Here is a 20,869-nt window from a genome sequence, read left to right on the forward strand (position 1 = left end):
CAAAAGCGTGACTCTTTCTTTCACTTGAACACTTAGAGGCCATGGCAGGGTTATTAATTGGCCTAATTTCAATATTGTTGCATTTCAAGGAACAAGGAGAGGCCTGGAGAGAGGGAAAGAGACCAGGGAATGGCTGGTTGGTGGGGCAGTCAGAACACAGACATTTATCGATTAAATCCATTGTCTTCTATGGGTGTGGTTTGTGGCACCCCAAAACACTTACAATAGTAACATCAACAATCACTGATCACAGATCACCATAACAGATATAATAATAATGAAAAAATCTGCACTATTGCGAAAATTACCAAAATGTGACACAGAGACACACAGAGAGCTCATGCTTTTGGAGAAATGGCACTGATAAGACTTGCTCAAGACAGGGTTGCCACAACCTTTGATTTGTAGAAAACACAGTATCTGTGAAGCATAATAAAGCAAAGCACAATAAAGTCTGTCCTGTTTGTATTCACAAAAACATATAAAGGCATGTGAGTAATAATATAAAATTAGCTGGGTCAAGATCGTTGCCAGCTGTGGTGTGGAATGGATTGGCAGCAGTTCTGTGCCATTTCCCAGGCTCTCTGTGCCTCCACCTCCTCCCTCATTCATGAAAGACAAGCCAAGCAAGGGACAAAGGTATACAATAGTTGCTGTAAATGTCCCTATTTCACCTATGAGAAAACTGTACTCAAAGAGGTTTAAATTCCTTGCCTAAGGTCATAGGACCTCAAAGACAATAAGCAAAAGCAAGGAAACTGAACGCACTCATAGCTACACAGAGATTCATTGCTAACTTTGTCAGACGTTGTGCCAAGACTCTCTCTCTTTCTCTCCCTCTCTCTGTCTCTCTACCAACCCCCCCCCAACGTATGTGTCTCTGCGTGTGTGTGTGTGTGTGTGTGTGCATATGCATGTATACACCCACTTTTTTTTTTATAAAATAGACTGCAACTGGAGATACTGGTGTGTCCTATTTTTTGGTGCAGCGTCATAACATAAGCATCTTTCTAGGCAATAAATTAACTTTATGCTGGCCTTCTTTTTTCAGTGGAGTATTAATTAAGCATCTTGTATGTGCCCAATATTCTGCTGGTTCTGGGGGAAGAAGGCCAGCCTACAGGAAACAACAGCTAACTCTTTAAGGCAGTGCATAAGTCCATTCATTTGCTTCACAAACATTCATTGAGCCCTGCCACGTGCCAGGCACTGTGGGTATCGTGGAGAACAAGACTACTGTCCGAGGCAAGAGCTGGGCTCCTCCTAGCTTCCTCTGTCCCCCTAACCTCCTCTCACCCACAGGCATTGCTGGGGGTATTTTCCTGGGTTGGTTGGTTTGTTTTGTTTTTTGTTTTGTTTTGTTTTGTTTTTTTGAGACAGGGTCTCACTATGTTGCTCAGGATGGTCTCAAACTCCTGGGCTCGAGCAATCTCCTGCCTCGGCCTCACCGTGCCTGGCCGTTGTTTATTTATTTATTGTGGTCAAATGTACATAGCATAAAATTGACCGTTTTAACTATTTTCAAGTGTACAGTTCAGTGGCACTAAGTACATTCACACTGTTGGGTAACCCTCCCCACTCTTCCACTGCAGAACCCCTTTCATCTTGCAGAACCGAAACTGTCCCCATTAAACATCAACCCCCCGGCCCTTCATCCCAGCCCCTGGCAGACACCCTTCTGTCTGCCTCTATGATTTTGGCGCTCTGGGTACCTCATAGATAAGTGAGATTGTATAGTATTTCTCCTTTGGTGACCAGCTTATCTCACCAAGCGTGATGTCCTCTGGGAGCATCCGTGTGGAAGAGGTGCTAGCATCATTTTGACTTCTCAAACATCTCGTGGGTGTCACCTCCCCCTCTACCTCTCTGCCACTGCCTCGCTCAGCCACCTGCTCTCTCCTGGACCCTTGCAGAAGGGACTGACTGGGCTCCTGGCCTCCAGTCCTGCCCTCTTCTAATGTATTTTTCATACCACTTCCAAAGTGATAATACATTCCTCTTTTGAAATTTTAGATTTGGTTACTAAAGCAATACAGGTGTATGGTTACCAAAAATTCAAACAGTGTAAAAGAGAATACCAGCCTGGGCAATGTAGAGAGACCCTGTCTCCATAAATTTTTTTTTTTTTTTTTTTGAGACGGAGTCTTGCAGTGGTGGGATCTCGGCGCACTGCAACCTCCACCTCCCGGGTCCTCATTCAAGCATTTCTCCTGCCTTAGCCTCCTGAGTAGCTGAGATTACAGGCATGCGCCACCATGCCCAGCTAATTTTTGTATTTTTAGTAGAGACGGGGTTTCACCATGTTGGCCAGGCTGGTCTTGAACTCCTGACCTCGTGATCCACCCACCTTAGCCTCCCAAAGTGCTGGGATTACAAGCATAAGCCACCACGCCCAGTCTCCATAAATGATTTAAGAAAAAATGTAGCCAGGCGTAGTGGCACGTGCCTGTGCTCCCAGCTCCTTGGGAAGCTGAGGTGGGAGGATTGCCTGAGTGTGGGATGTCGAGGCTGCAGTGAGCCAAGATCATGCCACTGTACCCCAGCCTGGGTGACAGAGTGCGACCCTGTCCCCCCCAAAAATAAATAAATCAAAGGGCATAAGGTGAAAAGAATCGTAACATTATGTTTTTGTAGCTCTGCCTCTGTGATGGTGCCCCCTGCATGGCTTGCTTTCACTGTGCCAATGCACCACAGTTACCCAGCCTGCCGGCTCTGATAAGATGCTCGCCATGCTTCTCCCATGCTGGACTTGGGCCACGTCCTTGGGCATGAATCTTGGTCTATGTCCAGGTCGGTTCTGAATGAGCCAGCAGACTCCTCCCGGGGCTGCCCGGCTACATGGTTGAGGGCATCCTGGACACCAGCTTCAGCCACAGCTCCTGACCAGGCAGGTGCAGTGAAGCCGGGAGGTGTAGGTCAGTTCCTACCTCTCCAACCTGAGGTCCTGCACTTCCTGCAGCTGTTGGAAGGGATCGTATCCAATGGGAGCAAGAAAGTGTGCTCCCCCACAGCCCCACTCAGGCATAAAGGGCCGAGGGGCAGCCAGGCCTGTCCTGGCTAGGGCTGGCTCAGAGTCTGTGGCAGCCCCACCCCTGCCAGGCTGGCCCTTAGCCCCAAGATCCACCTATGGCACTCGCCCCTTTACAGCTACGTGGACATCCACTGACACTCAGGTGACACACCTTTGCCTGCTTCTACTCAGTCTTGGCAGCAGTTGGACAAAAGGAAATCAAAGATCGGTTCTTTCTTGGGAGAGGAAGAGCAAGCTGGAGCCCTGGGGTGCTCAGATGCTCTTGGGAGTAACATAGCCCCATAGCCCCGGGGCTATACTGGGTGCAGGGGGGTGGAGGTGGTGGGGGAGCTGCAGCCAGGCATTCATTCACTTCCCGTTCTTTCATTCCTGCTCTTCTTTTGCTCACTGACTCATTCAGCAGCCTCTGGGCTGGGCGTTTACTCTCCTGTCAGGCAACACACTCCTGATTGGGTGGCCTTGGCCTTCCCAAGCTGTCTCTGGCTGTCCCCAAGTGAAACGGAATCTGGGCTGGACAGGCCACCGGATGGACAAGCTCTTCTCATCTAAAACCAAGGCAGTTGACATTGTGGGCTAAATGATAAGAACAAAATTAAAAAATAAAAACCAGGCAGGCTGGCATAGGAGCTCCATTTCCCTGCCCTACTGTGCCAGTGGCCTGGGGGCTCCCCTGCCGCCTCTCTCCACTCTGCAGATTCTGAGAAAACTCACAAAAGAGCCCACTCCAAGGTGTTTGGCAACAAGGTGGGGGCAGCCTCCCAGCACCCAGCACACATGGAGCTTTCCCGCAGTGGGTTTCAGCGCTCCCACTCTGCCTCGGAGCTACTCTGTCACCAGCTCTTGCCCTCCCTTGGCTCCTCTTTCCCATGCAGCTCCTCCTCCAGCTCGTGGGAAAGGCCGAGAGGCCGGGCCAGCAACAGCTGAGCATCCCCTCAACCTCTCCCTACCCCACCCCACCCCACTGTGCTCTTGGCCCCAGGCAGGCGAGGGGAGTGGAGTTTTGCTGCCTGATGCAATGTCTGGCAGGGCCGTCCCTTATCACAGCCGACTTGCTGGGACCCCCACCTTCCCCGGAGGAGGCCGGAACAGGCCGCAGTCCATTTTGGGCCTCAGTGGAAGGGCCTGGTTGGAGGCCATCCAAGTAGAAAACTCGTTCTCTGGGAGGCACCTTGCCAAGTCACGAGGGAGGCCTGAGCAGAAAGACCCCTGGGGGAGAGAAGGGAGGGAAGCCGAAGCCTCACTTGCTGGGGCTTGCCTGGCCTCAGCTCGCAGCCCCCTTTTTCCACAGCGTTCTCTCCCTCACATTTGTCTGCAGATGGCTTAGGCTGTTTTCTGCCCTCCCCCTTGTTACCCCACAGCTGTGAGAGGCTGGATGGAAACAAGAATTCAAGAGACTAAAGTTATGTGCGGTCCCAAGTGTGAAGTTTTGCCCACAGTTGGTGGCCATGGTTCGCACCGTGGTCCCAGCACACGCCCTCAGCATGCACCTGTGGCCCACACGCTCATGCTCACAGCCACTCATGTATGGAGCAATTGCCTTTTTTTCTTCCTCTTCATATCTTCTGTCAACTTAGAACGATTAAGCATCTTGCAGTAGGCTCAATGCTTTGGGAAGGACATTGATTCGTTCATTCATTCATTCATTCATTCAGCAAGTATTTATGAAGCACCCACTCTGTGCCAGGTACAGTTCTGGGCACTGGAGATGCAAGGGTGGAGCAGACAGATGAAGCTCTCCTCTCCCGGAGTCAACGTTCTGGGGGATGAGAGGCCATCAGCAAGTGCATTTCCATCTATGAAGGGAGTAAAGCAGGGCGCCAAGAGGGAAAGTGATGGGGGTGGCCCACATTAGGTCAGGGGTCAGGGAAGTACTCCAGAGCTGGGGGGGCATTTGAGCTGAGTCCTGATTGCTTAGAAGGAGCCAGCCAGAGCAGATCTGGCCCGGGCAGAGGTACCAGCTGATGCAGAAGCCCCCAGGTGGGGAGTGGCAGGAAGGGCCAGGGTGGGGGTGTTGGGAGAAGAGGTGGGAAGGGTGAGCAGGGTCTGGATCTTGAAGGCCCTTACAGGGCTTTTATTTTACCAAGTAGTGCATAGAGTGTTTGAAGCAGAAGCTGCCTTATTGTCTGTGCCTCCGAGAAGTTTCCATGTGGCTGAGAAGCTGGGTGGCAGCACAGTTATAATCAGTGCTCAGGTGTTCCCCTGTCTGGGTGGCTGCCCACATGTGATCCCATAGAAGAGGCTGGGCCTGAGGAAGCCAGGGAAGCAGGAGGGGGTGTGGGGAGGCCAGCAGGGGTGTGGGCCTCAGCGGGGAGGGAGGAGGTGATGCAGCATGGAAGATGAGAAGCCCACACCAGCCACACTAGGCCCCCAGGAGATTGTGGACGCCGTCGGGAGCATTATTCGGTGGAGGGGTGCGGGGCAGAAGCCAGATGAGACAGCTGGGAGGTGGCAGGCAGGTGAGAATGTGAGACAGAGGGAGGACAGTGATTTGAGAACTGTATCGTAGGTGGGATAGGAGTCCACATCCCAGCCAGCACCTAGAAGGTTGGGCTGGCTCTGCCCAGGGCCTGGCACGTGGTGTGCACTCACCAGATGGTCGCCGCCCTGAAAGAACTCAGCACTGTGCCTCTTTTCCTGCCTCTGGTGTTTGCTGTCAATATGCAGAGTGCTGGACAAAACTGGGCCAAGGGAGCTGTCCCACTGCCTGCTGCCCTCAAGCAGAGCTGACCTGGCACATGCCTCTGGCATACTTCCTGTTGGCCCTGGCACCCTGCAAAGAGGCCCCCAGTGGGCCCAAGCAGGGGATACCACCCGTTCCTTGGGCTGTTATGTAGTTGCTGGGGCATTGAGGGGATGAAAGGTTTTTTTGTTTTTTGGGTTGTTTTTTTTTTTGAGACAGAGTTTTACTCTGGGTGCCTAGGCTGGGGTACAATGGCATGATCTCGGCTCACTGCAACCTCCACCTCTCAGGTTCAAGCAATTCTCCTGCCTCCGCCTCCCAAATAGCTGGGATTACAGGCGACCACCACCACACCTGGCTACTTCTTGTATTTTTAGTAGAGACAGGGTTTCACCATGTTGGCCAGGCTGGTCTCAAACTCCAGACCTCAGGTCCACCTGCCTTGGCCTCCCAAAGTGCTGGGATTACAGGCGTGAACCATCGTGCCTGGCCGGATGAAAGGTATTGAGTACTAGGGGCTAGGAGGGACCAAGAGAAGGAGGAAGAGATTTTTCGGTTCTACCCATGAACTAAGCAAGGGAGGCAGGCCTAGCCCTTGCACCATGGAAGTGGGAGAGAAGTGATACAAAGGTGTATCTGATGTCACAGGTGTCACAGGCCTGCTTCTTGTAAAGGGCCTCCTGCATGGTGAGTTCTGCGTGGGGCTTTGCTGAGTAACCCCCATCCGGGCTCTATCCCCTTCCCTCATGGCCCTGTGACTTCCTGGCACCATGACCCTCTCCCCGCTTCTGGCTCTGGGAAGCTCCAAACCTCTCTCACCTGCCTGCCCACCTGCCTGCTAGGTTTCCAAAGCTAAACAGAGGGGCAGCTGTCTGGGCAGGGCAAGGGAGCCAACAGCCTGCCTGGGTTTCCTGTCCAAGTGTCCAGCTTTGCTTCTTCCTCTTAGGGCAGCGTCAAGAAGGATCTTAGGAAAGCTGTGTTGCTCTGGGGATGAGGAGGCTGGAACAGCAACTTAAAAAAAGAAATAGTCCCTGGAAGGGAGGGAAGGAGAAGGTTCAGAGGCTTGTCATTTAGGCACCCCAACTTCTATACCTTACCAAGGTGCCAGGCCCAGAGGGAAGGGGGTAGCCAGGGCAGCTCCCCGACCCGCACCTGCCTTTTCACCCCTCTCCTATTTCACAAGCATTTACCATGCATCAACAGATATGTTCCTCACAGCACCTTTATCAGCAGGGACTGCCCTTTTCATGCTACAAACAGGCCCAGAGAGGTTGTCACTTATACAAGGTTGCACAGCATGGTAGAGACACAGGAAGGACTAGAGCCCAGGACTTCTAACCCTAGCTCCTTCTGCTTCCCTCACATCATCAGCTCCAGACAACCTGAGATTGGAGAGGACAGAAAGTCAGGATTTCAACACCTCGTACTCTGAAAACTCAGTGGTGGTTCTCACCCTGTCAGTGGGGCAGGTGGCCTCACACCCCACCACAGGCTAAACAGGGTGCATGGGGGACGTAGCCCCACTGGCCATTCTACACATTCATGCCAACAGCTACCAGGCACCAGCCTCACCATTGATTTTTGGACAGCTGGTCTGTGCCAAGTGCCATTCTAGATGCGAGTCCCGACTTTGGGGTGCTTGCATTCTGGGAAGGGAGATGGTCAGCCAGAAAGCCCCACCATAGGAGCTAGGTTGGGGGTCCCCAAGGTACACCAAGAAGCTCAAGTGACCTGGACCTGGGAGGGGTGGCCAGAGGCTTCTGCTGGAGGAACCTTAGGTCAGTTACCTAACCTGTCTCAACCTCAGTTTCCTCACCTGTAAAATGGGCTAGTTGCTGCCTCACAGGGCTTTGCTGAGGATTTGATGAGTGCAAGTGCTTAGCATGGCACCTGGCACAGAGAAATATGCACTCAGTAAACTTAAGCTGCCCATATCATTGGTTGGCCCTCCCAACCAGAGTGCAAGCCCCGGGAGGGCACAGACCATACCTGCTTGTTCACCGCCATATTTTCAGTGCCTAGGCCAGAAGCCAGCACAAGGTAAATGCTCAGAAAATATTAACTTAATAAGTTCATGAGAAAAGGCCCAGGAAAATTAGGAAGAGGCAGGACTATTCCAGTTAGGAATAGACTCTCCTATGCCAGGCACAGTGGCTCACACCTGTAATCCCAGCACTTTGGGAGGCCGAGGCAAGCAGATCACCTGAGGTCAGGAGTTCGAGACCAACTTGGCCAACATGGTGAAACCCCATCTCTACCAAAAAATACAAAAATTAGCTGGGAGTGGTGGCACACGCCTGTAATCCCAGCTACTCAGGAGGCTGAGGCACGAGAATTACTTGAACCCAGGAGGCGGAGATTGCAGTGAGCTGAGATTGCACCACTGCACTCCAGCCTGGGTTGCAGAGCAAGACTCTGTCTCAAAAAAAAAAAAAAAAAGGGAATAGACTCTTCTTTCTGCAGCTGTATTTGCTCTAGCTGTAAACAACTTTGTAGCCAAGTGCAGTGGCACACCTATAGTCCCAGCTACTCCGGAGGCTGAGGAGGGAGGATTGCTTGAGCCTAGGAGTTGGAGGCCAGCCTGGGCAATATAGCAAGACCCTGTTAGATATTATCTATTTAGATAATAATAATGACCTGTAATCCCAGTACTTTGGGAGACCAAGGCAGGTGGATCATCTGAGGTCAGGAGTTCAAGACCAGCCTGGGCAACATAGTGAAACCCCGTCTCTACTAAAAATACAAAAATTAGCTGGGCGCAGTGATGCATGCCTATAATCCCAGCTACTCGGGAGGCTGAGGCAGGAGAATTGCTTGAGGCAGAGGTTGCAGTGAGCCAAGATTACGCCATTGCACTCCAGCCTGGACGACAGAGCGAGACTCCATCTCAAAATAATAATAATAATAATGATACATACTATTTCAGTCGAGGGTCATTTTTTCCTTTATCCATCTGTTGTTCACCAACTGTGTATCTCTTGCCTGGCCCAGGATTGAGAGATAATGAGGGGCCCAGATGAACTCCCTGTCCTGCCTGAAGGGATGTTCAGTATTGAACAATTGTTGCTTTATGGCTTTATGACAAAGTCCCAGGTGCTCATGATAATCTTTGTACAGTGGTGGGGCTGTAGGGAGCCCTAACATAGCCTGGGGGAGGCTGCCTAGAAAGTGGAGACCTGAAGGCTGAGGCCATGTTAAGGATTTAGGTAGAATTTATGCGCTATGATATTTTTTTCTTTCGTTAATTTTTTATAATTTACGTATACACATGGTAAAATGTGTAACAAGGCACAGTGTTACATAGCAAACATAAGCCTCACTCCACCTTCTCTCTCCACCTACCTGTCCACCTTCTAGATGCAGCCATTGTTACCAGGCCTTGCGTTTTCCTGCAGCCAGAGTCCATTTGTATCCCGCATCTATATTTTCTTCCCGGCATTTGTTTCTGAATGGGAGCTTGCTACATCGGAGTCTCTCCACCTTGGATGATTTGTCACCCCCCACCTTCCCACCCCAGGAGACACTTAGCAATGTCTGGAGATATTTGATGGTTACAGATGAGCAGTGGGGGCCAGGCGTGGTGGCTCGTGCCTATAATCCCAGCACTTTGGGAGGCCGAGGCAGGTGGATTGCTTGCACTCAGGAGTTCAAGACCAGGCTGGGCAACATGGCAAGACCCCATCTCTACAAAAAATTTTAAAAATTAGCTGGGTGTGGTGGTGTGCACTTGTGGTGACTAAGGGGGCTGAGGTGGGAGGATCAATTGAGCCTGGGAGGTTGAGGCTGCAGTAAACTATGATCGTGCCACTGCACTCCAGCCTGGGCAACATAGTGAGACCCTGTCTCAAAAACAAACAAACAATTATTGGCAATTAGTGGGTAGAGGCCAAGACTGCTGTCAAACATTCTATAATTCACAGGACAGTCCCCACTTACCTGGTGGAAAATGTCAACAGTGCTGAGGTTGGGAAGCCCCGTCCTGCATAAGCACAGGGTCTGCACCTTTGTGTGTGTGTGTGTGTCTGTGTGTGTGTGTGTGTGTGTTCTCATGTATTTTCTGGATCATTCACATTTATACATCCACCTCATTATTCTTTGTGGCCACATAAAAATCCATTACCTGGATGCTCCACCATTTTCATTTAGGTGTTTGCACTCTTTTTGCTATTATAAACATTTATGCTACAAAGGTTATTCTTTTCCGTGCACAGGCCTTTGATGTGTGAGGTCAAGGGAGAAACTGATGGAGGTGGGATGGATGAACCCGATGGTTCATTAGCATTTTAAATGACCTATTAAAGAGACCTTCAGTGTCTCTGGGGCACAGTCTGTCTGGAGAGTGGGTCTGGGGTCCTGGCTGCTAACCAGGGCCGAGATCCTCAAAAGTCTGGTGGAGAGACATCCTCTGCATTCCTCGTGTACAGACAAGGGTGTTCTGACCACCTGTCTCTCCGCAGGACAAGGGTGTCCCCCACCTGAAGACGGCAAGCTGGGTCCTGAGTGATGCCCCTCAGCTGAGTGTCCAAGGCTGGCCCGAGGAGCCCCCACGGCCCCACCTTTCCCCATGGAGAAAGGACTCACTTTGCCCCAGGACTGCCGGGACTTTGTGCACAGCCTGAAGATGAGAAGCAAATACGCCCTTTTCTTGGTTTTTGTGGTGATAGTTTTTGTCTTCATCGAAAAGGAAAATAAAATCATATCAAGGTGAGGGTTGCAAGCCCAAGTCTTCATCTTCCTTTCAAGGTGGGGTGGGTGGGGACAGGGAGGTAACTGCAGGGCTCTCTGTGGACCTGCAAATGCATTCCTTCAACGAGCCATCCCCAGGCCCCTTCTATGTCCCAGGCAGTGGCTCCTGCACACGTCCTCATGACTGCACAGGGGTGAGACTTGGGCTCTGGACTCAAACAGCCTGGGTTGGAGCCCCCCCATGTTGGCCCTCTACAGCTGTGAAAGGTTAGACAAGATACTTAACATTTCTGAGTCTTCGGTTCCTCTTTTGTAAAACATGGCTAATAATGGGACCAGCATTGTTGTAAAGATTAAATGAGAAAATGTAAAAGCATTTAGCCCACTGCCTGGCACATAGTTGGTGTCCAGTATTTGCTGGCTGTGACTATTACTGTTAATTTACCTCCTGGCCTTGCATTAGCAGCACATCCCCTATAGAAGTCTTGATGTCACTGAGCCCATGGAAAGGCAAGGTCCTAGTATGGATACTCTGATGGGCAAGGCTGCCAATGTGCAGCTGCCAAGTTGTGTACTGCTCAACTCCAGGGGCATGTCCCTCAAATAGGCTAATCTGGGAACGCCCCTTTACCCCTTTGAATTGGCAGCATACAGCTATGTGCAGTGGGCCTGTTAGATGTAGAAAGATTTCTTAGCCTGTTCTCCTCCCAGGCACAAGCCCTGCAAGAAAGCATTAGCTAAGATGGGTGGGTCAGGGATTGGGCAATATAGTGGACACCGTCAATCCCCCCCCTTGGGTCACTGAGCAAGGACCGTTCTAGCTTGTGCCTATTGGGTTCTACTGCAAGCCCCTACAGCTCTGCACCTGAGAGCTTTCTCTCCACTGGCACACTGGCAAGCCGGAAGTACTAGGGAGTAACTGTCCCCCCCAGATCCCCATCAGACTAAGCCTCCGATGCCCACACCTGCTCCTAGCAGCACATCCATCATGCACCTCTTTCCTCCCCTGCCTCACTTCCCCATCCAGTACTTCCTGTGATCATGTCCCAAATAAACTTACTTAAACACAAATCCTTGCCTCAACGTCTGCTTTTGGGGAAACCCAACTGAGACAGGTTTTGGTGATCTGCTTGGAGGACTGCTTAGGGTTGCCCAGGAGACGGGGTCCCCAGTCAGCCACTGACCCTGATCTTCTTTGTCCTCACAGGGTCTCAGACAAGCTGAAGCAGATTCCCCAAGCTCTAGCAGATGCCAACAGCACCGACCCAGCCCTGATCTTAGCTGAGAACGCATCTCTCTTGTCCCTGAGCGAGCTCGATTCAGCCTTCTCCCAGCTTCAGAGCCGTCTCCGCAACCTCAGCTTGCAGCTGGGCGTGGAGCCAGCCATGGAGGCCGCAGGGGAGGAAGAGGAAGAGCAGAGAAAGGAGGAGGAGCCGCCCAGACCGGCCGTGGCGGGGCCCCGGCGCCACGTGCTGCTCATGGCCACCACGCGCACCGGCTCCTCGTTCGTGGGCGAGTTCTTCAACCAGCAGGGCAACATCTTCTACCTCTTCGAGCCGCTGTGGCACATCGAGCGCACAGTGTCCTTCGAGCCGGGGGGCGCCAACGCCGCGGGCTCGGCCCTGGTGTACCGCGACGTGCTCAAGCAGCTCTTCCTGTGCGACCTGTACGTGCTGGAGCACTTCATCACGCCGCTGCCCGAGGACCACCTGACTCAGTTCATGTTCCGCCGGGGCTCCAGCCGCTCCCTGTGCGAGGACCCCGTCTGTACGCCCTTCGTCAAGAAGGTCTTCGAGAAGTACCACTGCAAGAACCGCCGCTGCGGCCCCCTCAACGTGACGCTGGCCGCAGAGGCCTGCCGCCGCAAGGAGCACATGGCCCTCAAGGCGGTGCGCATCCGGCAGCTGGAGTTCCTGCAGCCGCTGGCCGAGGACCCCCGCCTGGACCTGCGCGTCATCCAGCTGGTGCGCGACCCCCGGGCCGTGCTGGCCTCGCGCATGGTGGCCTTCGCCGGCAAGTATAAGACCTGGAAGAAGTGGCTGGACGACGAGGGCCAGGACGGCCTGAGGGAAGAGGAGGTGCAGCGGCTGCGGGGCAACTGCGAGAGCATCCGCCTGTCCGCGGAGCTGGGGCTGCGGCAGCCCGCCTGGCTGCGGGGCCGCTACATGCTGGTGCGCTACGAGGACGTGGCACGCGGGCCGCTGCAGAAGGCCCGCGAGATGTACCGCTTCGCCGGCATCCCCCTGACCCCGCAGGTGGAAGACTGGATCCAAAAGAACACGCAGGCGGCCCACGACGGCAGCGGCATCTACTCCACGCAGAAGAACTCCTCGGAGCAGTTCGAGAAGTGGCGCTTCAGCATGCCCTTCAAGCTGGCCCAGGTGGTGCAGGCCGCCTGCGGCCCTGCCATGCGCCTCTTCGGCTACAAACTGGCGCGGGACGCCGCCGCCCTCACCAACCGCTCAGTCAGCCTGCTGGAGGAGAGGGGCACCTTCTGGGTCACGTAGGGGGGCCGGGGCCCCGTATGCCCCTCCTCGTGAAAGGCCTGCCCCGTCTTTCTGCCGCAGCCCTCGCAGAGGGCGGGTGCACAGCGCCATGAGCGGGCAGCGCCTCCTGTAGCAGTAGGGCCCCCAGCCAGCGCTCCAGCCAAAGCGGCGGCCCCAGGGTTAATTGCGGAGAACAGGACAGTGCCCGGTCCCCTTGAGGGCCATCACACCCAGACCCAACGGGTTGCAGCCTCCTGAGCAGGCCTAGGCAGGCCCGGGCCTGTTGGCAAGCTTCGATCTCACACACACAGAAACATACATTCGTGCCTGGAGACCCTGCAGGCCAGAGTCCAAATATTTAACAATCAGAAGGGGCAAGGCTCTGACCAGTGACAGTCAGACCTCCTGCTTTATTTGGTGTTAACCGTTTCTTGTCTGGATGGTGAAGTCTGGAATCTGGGTGGGTCCTTGGAGGAGGGGCTAGGACAGCCGTGGGTGTCAAAGGTGGCATTTGAGGCTCGTTTGAGGTGACAGTGGCTGTTTACCAACTAGTACAGAGCGATTCAGCGTTTTCATGAATGGGTTGGCTGTGCTGGTTACTGATGAATATGGGCCCCTTATAGAGCTGCAAAACACACACATGCGTATAGACATACATACATGTACACCATACATAGACAAGCATCATAAAGGCACAAGTGCACACACATCTATGCAGACAAGCTTCCTCGCTGCTTATGCCCACAGGGTTTTTCTGTATGACACACCTCAGAGGAGCCTGTGCTTAACATTTGTAGGATTATTTCGAGGGCAGGGCAGGGGAAAGAAACGCGTTAAAGGGCCATGACATGACACAGTTCCCTGGCCGGGTTTGGACTGAACAGTGGATTCAGAACTGCAGCGTTCAAAGCCCCTGCCCGCCTTAGATTCTCATGGCTACCTCCTCTGACCCATCCACATCCTTGCGGCTGGCAGGCAGGATGTTTTGAAATGGTGCAGCCAAAGGCCCCGTCTAGCTTGGCTGGCTCCCGAACATGTCCATATTTGAAGGCTGCCTCAGGCCTGGCAGGCAGAAGCAGCTGTGGTCCCTGGAGGCAAAAGGCAGCTCACGGGGCCTTCCATTTCCAGCCAGGCCTCATCTGGGGTAGGGCCAAGAGGAAAGTACAGAGTGCCCGTGGGGGAGAAGTCCCACCAGGATGCCCCCCCTCCCCTGAGAAGCCCGCCTTCTCCCTCGTGGACAGGAGTCAGCCAGTTGGTTGCTGTGGTTACAGCCAGTGCCTGGAATTCCTCCTTAGGGCCCTGGGAAGAGTATTGCTTAACGCAGGATGTGCTGGGTGTTTTGTTTCGGGCTTTTATTTATGGCTTGGTGTCTTTCTTGTTTCATGGCTGTGTTTTTGCTTTTGTTTCTGTAGGAGCGCCTCTTCCAAGCAGTGGAGGCCTGAGGGCTTGAGGGAGGCTGGGGAAAACCAGCAGGGAGCACTTGGCTCCTGGCAGAGGGAGAGGACAGGAGGAGGAGCCTTCCCCAGGAGGAACGAGGAGAGGTGGCCACGTGGCAGGCCACAGTGCCCTATGGGCTTTTCTGTTTGAACCCCATGTGGGATGAATCTCAAAGCCACCAGCGTTCTTGCCTAGTGTCCAGAGCAGCAGAGATTTGCAGCCCTCGCCCCTCCCTGAGAAGAAGCTGGATTTGAAAATCCCTCACAGGCCCTAACATGTTTCCTGGGTGGGCAGGGGCCTCATGACAAGCGACAAGTGTACCCAGAGTAGAAGGCCTTCCCCACTCCCACCTCAAACCCAGGAGCAGAACTCAGTATCCAGAGCTTACAAGGAGCTGCAAGGGTTTGCCGAGGGCTGCCCAGCTCTGCTTCTGGTTTCCTGGACAATTTCTCTGTCAGATACGGCCCATTGTAAACCCAGAGGGCTGCATTTTGGGTTGAGTAATATGGACACCATGGAAGTACAGGATCTGAGTCCAACATTGCCATGGGGGAGGGAAGAGTGTGTCCTGGCAGGAAGCCACCATTGGAGAAGGTGAGGCCAGTAACCATCTCATGGGATTCGCTATAATCAGCCTATTTGAGCTGCTGGGTCTCTGTCACTGTGGACTCCAGTCATTCAAGGAGGTCTCCACTCTTGGGTTTTTTTTATTTTCTTTTCTTTTGCTATTTTGCCTGAACACCCCAACACTCTTGGTTTTAGAGTCCAAGAGTAAGTTGTGCAGAGACATGGTTCTAATTTGGAGTTCAAAGGAACACCAGCTCTGAAAACATGACCGTGGGGCCAGGATGTTTCTGGCAGGCCCAGAAGTGCTGGCCGTTCTTCCCCAGCCTCCCCACTGCTCCCTCCTCTGTTCCCCATGTGGAGGTCGGAGGGGCTGGGACTGGGGAGGGGGCAGCCACCTCCATCCAAGGCTCTTCCTAGGGGCCCTGCTAATGTGGACAGTAGACTTTATCCCTCCTTCTTACTCTGGGCCAAGACCTCCCACTCCGCCCTCTGAGGATGGTACCAAGAATGGGCCTTTGGGACTTCTCAGGACATTGACAATGTGCACACTGCAGGTTGACTTAATTTATTTATTTTTTGAAAAGAAGAGACAGAAAATACCTTATTATCTGCAGGGACTCAAAGCTGTACCCAAATCAAGAAAGACAAAATAACAATAGAAACCATTCACACACTCCGTTCATGCATGGACACCAGAAGACGATTCAGAACACAAGAGGAGAATGAGCTGGAGCGCCAGCACCACGATGGCCCCAGGACGTTGTTTAAGATCTGAGATCCCTTGGTTTCTCTCTTGTTGATCTGAGATGCTACATCAGGGCCCTTGCTGCTGTATTACCTCTGCCCGGGTGTTTGAGACAGGTCACAAGCGCGTGGATGTTTCCTGGAAGTGTATTCCCCTGGGGCTCAGCGATGCTCTGGGAACCCTTGGGGTTTGGGGAAGGACAGTGTGGTGTGACTATTGGCTTGAAACGTTATGGATATGGTTGGAGTCACCCATGTGGATATGATTTTCAGCTTGGAGCTGGGATGGAGAAGATGGAAGCACTGGTGGCCGGGCCTCTTTTTCCAGCGAGGCCAGCCCTGGCTTCTCCTCTGTTCCAGCTTGTCTGCCAGAAGCCTTCCCCTGCAAGGTGCCCACCTGCCCGGAGACAGAGGGAGCAGCTGAGGCCTCTCTCCACTGGCCGCCAGCCTCCCTAGCACAAGGGGACCATTCAGCAATGAGTGTTTACTCATGTTCTTTCTTGTTGATGAGTTCTGCGGCCCAGCATATAGAAATGGCTCAGAACGTTCCAGGCCTTGGTGAGACACAGCAGCGTCCAATGCTCACAGGCTGTCCCCACTCTGCCTGTTCCCATCTTCCCCTCGGGACCTGTTTATAAATTGAGGAATGGATGAGGGCCCTGGAGGGTCCTTGGGAGTAGTTAGTGGAGGGCAGGATTCTCAGGTCCCCATAGAGAGGGAAAGAGAAGACCAGATGTGCATAGAAGCCAGTCTCTGTCACATACACCGCAGGTGGTCACCGAGTTATTTTCCAAAAGCTGAGGAACATAAAGCAAATTTAGGCTTTTGTCCTTCTGCAATACATGCACTTGAAAATAAACAGAAAAGAGATGTTTAATAACAAGTTTACTTCCGGTCTGCTAGCACCCTCAGCCTGGGAGCTACTGCCAGAGGCTGGCGTAGTGGGGCAGCTGCTGACCAAACCCCACAGAACAGAGGGCACCAGGCATCACACGACATCTTTCCCTCCCATCTCTGCCATCTGTCTGTCTGGCAATGGAAGGAGCTTCAGCAGGAGGTCCTTCCCAGAAGGTTGATTCTTGGCCTGGGTGGTAGAGGAGATATCCTGACCCTAAAGTCTTCCAGCCCCGGGTCATCCTCTCCTATACTAGGGCCTATTGACCGTAGAGGCCAGGTGCGGTGGCTCATACCTGTAATCCCAGCAGTTGGGGAGGCCAAGGTGGGAGGATTGCTTGAGCCCAAGAGTTGGAGACCAGCCTGGGCAACATGGTGAGACCAATTGACTGTAGGGCTTGTCCCTTGCTAAGACAGGAGCAGAAGACTGGATGGCTGTGTCCTCAAGGCAGTCCCCTCCCATCCCCATTCCCAAAGTCAGAAAGTGAAGCCAGATCTCAAGGGCTGATACCTGAGGCAAGGAGAGCTAAGGGGAGAGAAATTGGGGCTGAGTGGAAGCAGATGCCTGCACAAGCCAAGTGTGTCTTATTGATCTGTACAAGCTGATAGAAGGACCATCTGCTGAAATCCAGGGCTCCTGAGTTGGTGGGTTTGCTTGTGAAGCTTCTAGGACAAGGCGCAGCCAGATGGAAGGGAGAGGGTCCAGGGCTTCCTAAATGCAGCCGCATCACCTGTCAACTCGCTGCAGTTTCAGAGACAGTGGAAGCTGCTCTTTACCTCAAAAGCACAAAGCAGAATTGGCAACTTCACTTGTCTCAAGAGCTCCAAGATCCTTTGGTCTCGTGTCCTTTGGCACCCCGTAACTGGACTGGGGACAAATTTGTTACGTGTTTCCAAGGCTACAGACATGGCGCCATCCTCACAGGCCTAGCTCATGTCATGGATCAGGTGCTTTGCTGGGGGGATACAATGACCCATGTGGTCTGCGTCTTCTGCCATTGGCTTGAACTGGGCACCCCCTGAAGTCTCCATCTCAGCTGTATATTCTAGTCCAAATTTTCCTGGCTCCCCTGCTCCCTCCCAGGTCCTGCACACTGTCTTTTTGCCAACACCTCAGCCCTGTTTGCTATTTCATGTCTGCATGGTACGAGACACCCCTTCACGGCATACACTGCCATGGTATGTACATATGCATCCACGTGTGTGTATGTGTAGCATGTAGCTCATTCTGCTCAGCCTCTGGCGCCGTTCCACATTGCTCCCAGCCCCATTGCTGTCACTGTCGTCCCAGATGTCCTTGCCATGGCCACAGACAATCTGCCGTCTCCTGGAAACGCTGGGGCTGCCCTTCAGAGAGCTGGCAGCCCCAGCAGTCAGGGCCTGCTTTGCAGAATAGAATGTGAACCCAACTCCTGATGGCCTACTTGACTTATTTAATTAAAGATGAAATCATGCAATGAGCAAAACCTGCAGCGTGTCTCTGCCTTTTCCTTTGCATTTGTTCTCAGCAGCAATTGGGTCATAATTTTTTTTTTTTTTTAATTAACAGTGGTAGAAAGGAGGTGACTTCCAGCATGAAGCAGGACAGAGAATCCCCCTGCCCATTCCCAAGGGACCAAAGGCACTAGGGGAATATGGGGCAGGATGAATGTACCTTGCGTCACCAGGCTGGCAGAGCTGATGGGGACTGCGCTGAGCGGAGAGAGAGAAAACCCAGGTATTTGGGGGCAGAGACAGGAGTGTTGGGCCAGCGGTCAGGGGGCCTGGGGATGAGTCCCAGCTTTGCCACTGTCTGGCTGTGTGACCTTGCATAAGTCACTTCCCTTACTTGGACACCAGTTTCCTTTTAGAATGAAGGTGTAATCAGTTGTTCACAAACATTGTTCCCAAAAAGCCCCATTAGGGATTCAAAAGTCAGCTGAAAGGGCAGGCGGCACCCTCTCAACAAGAGTCACTGTGCGTTTTGATCTGCTTCACGTGTTCAGATAGCATTTCAGATTTATTTGGCCTTCAACTAAATCTCCAAAAACACATAAGAAGGTTGCCAAGGACCCTTTCAGCTAAGAAATTGAATGGAGTCCTTTCAAATTGCAGTTACATCCGTCATAACAACTTTAGTTCTTACTACATTTCAGCCCTGCTTGTCTCCCAAGAGCTGCCTGCAGAGCATGGGTGTTTCCCTGGGGAGAAGGGAGAGAGCTCATTTTGGAACACAGAAGCCAGAGCTGGTGGGGCTTTGTGGGTCTCAGGACACAGGGGTAGCAGGACCAGCAGCTGCAGGAAGAGGCAGAGGAGGGCTGAGCACGGGGACAGTGGCTCCTGGAGTGAGGGAATGAAGACTCAGAGAGGCTCAATGTGAGGGAACAGGCCCCCCTCCCCAAATCTTAACCTGTGTCTCTGCCAGTTCACCCAGTCCAGGCTTGGGAAGCTCAAGCCAGCTCCCTCCCACCTCTTAAAGTATTTGAGCCGGTGCCTGTCATCCCAACCTGAACAGAAGCTGCCCACCCCAGTCAGGTGCTATTGCTGTCTCCCCTACGCTGGGGGCTGGATATAGTTAGTTTAATTTCTGGGCTGTGTTTCCTACCACAAATGACCCCCTGGGGAAACAAATTGCACTAATCACAGAGCAGAGAAGCCTGGACACCTCCCCACCCACCCACCCCTCAGCTGCCAGGCCGGAACCGTCTCTCCTCCTCCTCCTTTCCCCCACCCCCAGACCCCTTCAGGATCGTCAGTCTTCCTTCCTACACCCCAATTTACTCAACCCTGGGGAGGAGTCAAGCGCCCCGTGGGCTCTCTGGGACAGGGAGAGTTGGCTGGGACTCTCTGGAAAGCAGTTTGATCAGCAGGGGGCTGGGGTCAGGGACCTGTGCCATTGCCCACAGAGCCCTGCCAGGCCCAGCACTGGCCCAGCCCTGGAGCCTGCAGCAGCATCCTCAAGTGTGTTTGGAGAAACTGTGGTCACAGGATTGCTCTTGGGAAGTTACAGTGCACATTTGCGATTACAGGCTCCAGGTAGGCCGCTTTCCTTTGACTCACCCAGCATTAAGGATTACCTTCTAGAAAGAACCATTTTTATGGAATTCGTTTATCATGAAAAACTTTTTTCCAAACAACAGTCTTTTTCAAGACTCTGGCCTTCTTTATTTTTTAAGACTCTGTCACCCAGGTGGGAGTGCAATGACGCAATCACAGCTCACTGCAGCCTGGACCTCTCAGGCTCAAGCAGTCCTCCTGCCTCAGCCTCCCAAGTAGCTGGGACTATAGGCATGCACCACACTTGCTAGCTTTTTTGTATTTTTTGTAGTAATGGGATCTCGCCATGTTGCCTAGGCTGGTCTTGAACTCCGAACTCAAGCAATCTGCCGGCCTCAGCCTACCAAAGTGTTGGGATTATAGGCATGAGACACTATACCTAGCCAAGACTCTGTCATTCTGCAAAAGAGTTAGTAGCTACCAGCAGCCTGCAGCTGGAAGTGTGTAGGACCAAAAGCCACCCTAAGCAGCCATTAGGTGGTGGGTGAGTTGGCTGGGAGAAAAAATCTAGGGTTGGGTTTAAGGCCCATCCCCCTTCACACCATCCTCCCCGAGCTGCCAGGCTAAGAGGAGCCCTCAGAGATTGCAGCAGCCTCAGGGGCACTGAGAGCCAGGGTTCGGGGCACTGAGGGCCAGGGTTCAAGGCCCTGAGACTTGCTGTCCCCAAACCTCCCTGGTTCTTGGCTTCCTCAACTCAACCCACGCTGTGGGGCCTCCGTGGCATGACCCAAAAGATGTGGAACACCCCACAGAGAGTGGGAACTCTGGAGAACCAGGCCAGGTATAAACACCACGGGATACTATTTATCTGAGAAATAGGAGTTTGAGATTGCTCTTAAAGGAGCCATTTCTGAAACAGTGGGACAAAGGTTACCAGCAGTAAATAGGTTTCCTGGAGGTGTAATCCTCTAGTAGCTAGTAAAACCTTCGCTGAAATCTGCGGGCCGTTTATTGGAAGAAGAAGCAGGTAGTAAGTGCCCAGCAGGAGAGGCCCGCCCAAGAAAATTAGAAGGGGGAAAAAGAAGGAAGGGAGGGAGGGGGAAGGAAGGAGAGGGAAGAGAAGAGGAAAGAAGGAAAAAAGGGAGGAAGAGGCTGGGCGCGGTGGCTCACACCTATAATTCCAGCACTTTGGGAGGCTGAGATGGGAGGATTGCTTGCGGCTAGGAGTTCGAGAACAGCCTGGTCAACATGGCAAGATCCCACCTCTTAAAAAGAAGAAAAAGAAAGAGGAAGGAAGGGTGGGGAAGGTTGGGAAAGGAAGGGAGAGAGGAAGGGAGGGAGGGTGACAGTGGGATGCATTTCATGCCA

At 52.9% G+C, this 20,869-nt stretch overlaps 1 protein-coding gene across 4 annotated transcripts in view, besides 1 other annotated feature; it reads left to right on the plus strand.

Annotated features, from left to right (window-relative positions):
• The window catches only part of CHST3 (carbohydrate sulfotransferase 3), a 49,164-nt gene extending 31,173 nt beyond the window's left edge, over nt 1-17,991 (plus strand). For all 4 annotated transcript variants that reach the window (NM_004273.5, NM_001441202.1, NM_001441201.1 and 1 more), the window contains exons 2-3: nt 10,169-10,415; nt 11,605-17,991. In NM_004273.5, the coding sequence (NP_004264.2) occupies nt 10,276-10,415; nt 11,605-12,904 (1,440 nt within the window). In that variant the 5' untranslated portion in view covers nt 10,169-10,275 and the 3' untranslated portion in view covers nt 12,905-17,991. The remainder of the gene's footprint in view (nt 1-10,168; nt 10,416-11,604) is intronic.
• Nucleotides 2,159-3,111: an enhancer, noted in NCBI's record as "H3K27ac-H3K4me1 hESC enhancer chr10:73757484-73758436 (GRCh37/hg19 assembly coordinates)". NCBI's record gives its function as "activates a minimal SCP1, AML or CMV promoter by ChIP-STARR-seq in naive H9 embryonic stem cells {active_cell/tissue: H9 hESC(naive)}" and the evidence as "EXISTENCE:reporter gene assay evidence [ECO:0000049][PMID:30033119]".

The sequence above is a fragment of the Homo sapiens genome, chromosome 10, assembly GCF_000001405.40.
Source record: "Homo sapiens chromosome 10, GRCh38.p14 Primary Assembly".
Classification (NCBI taxonomy): domain Eukaryota; kingdom Metazoa; phylum Chordata; class Mammalia; order Primates; family Hominidae; genus Homo; species Homo sapiens.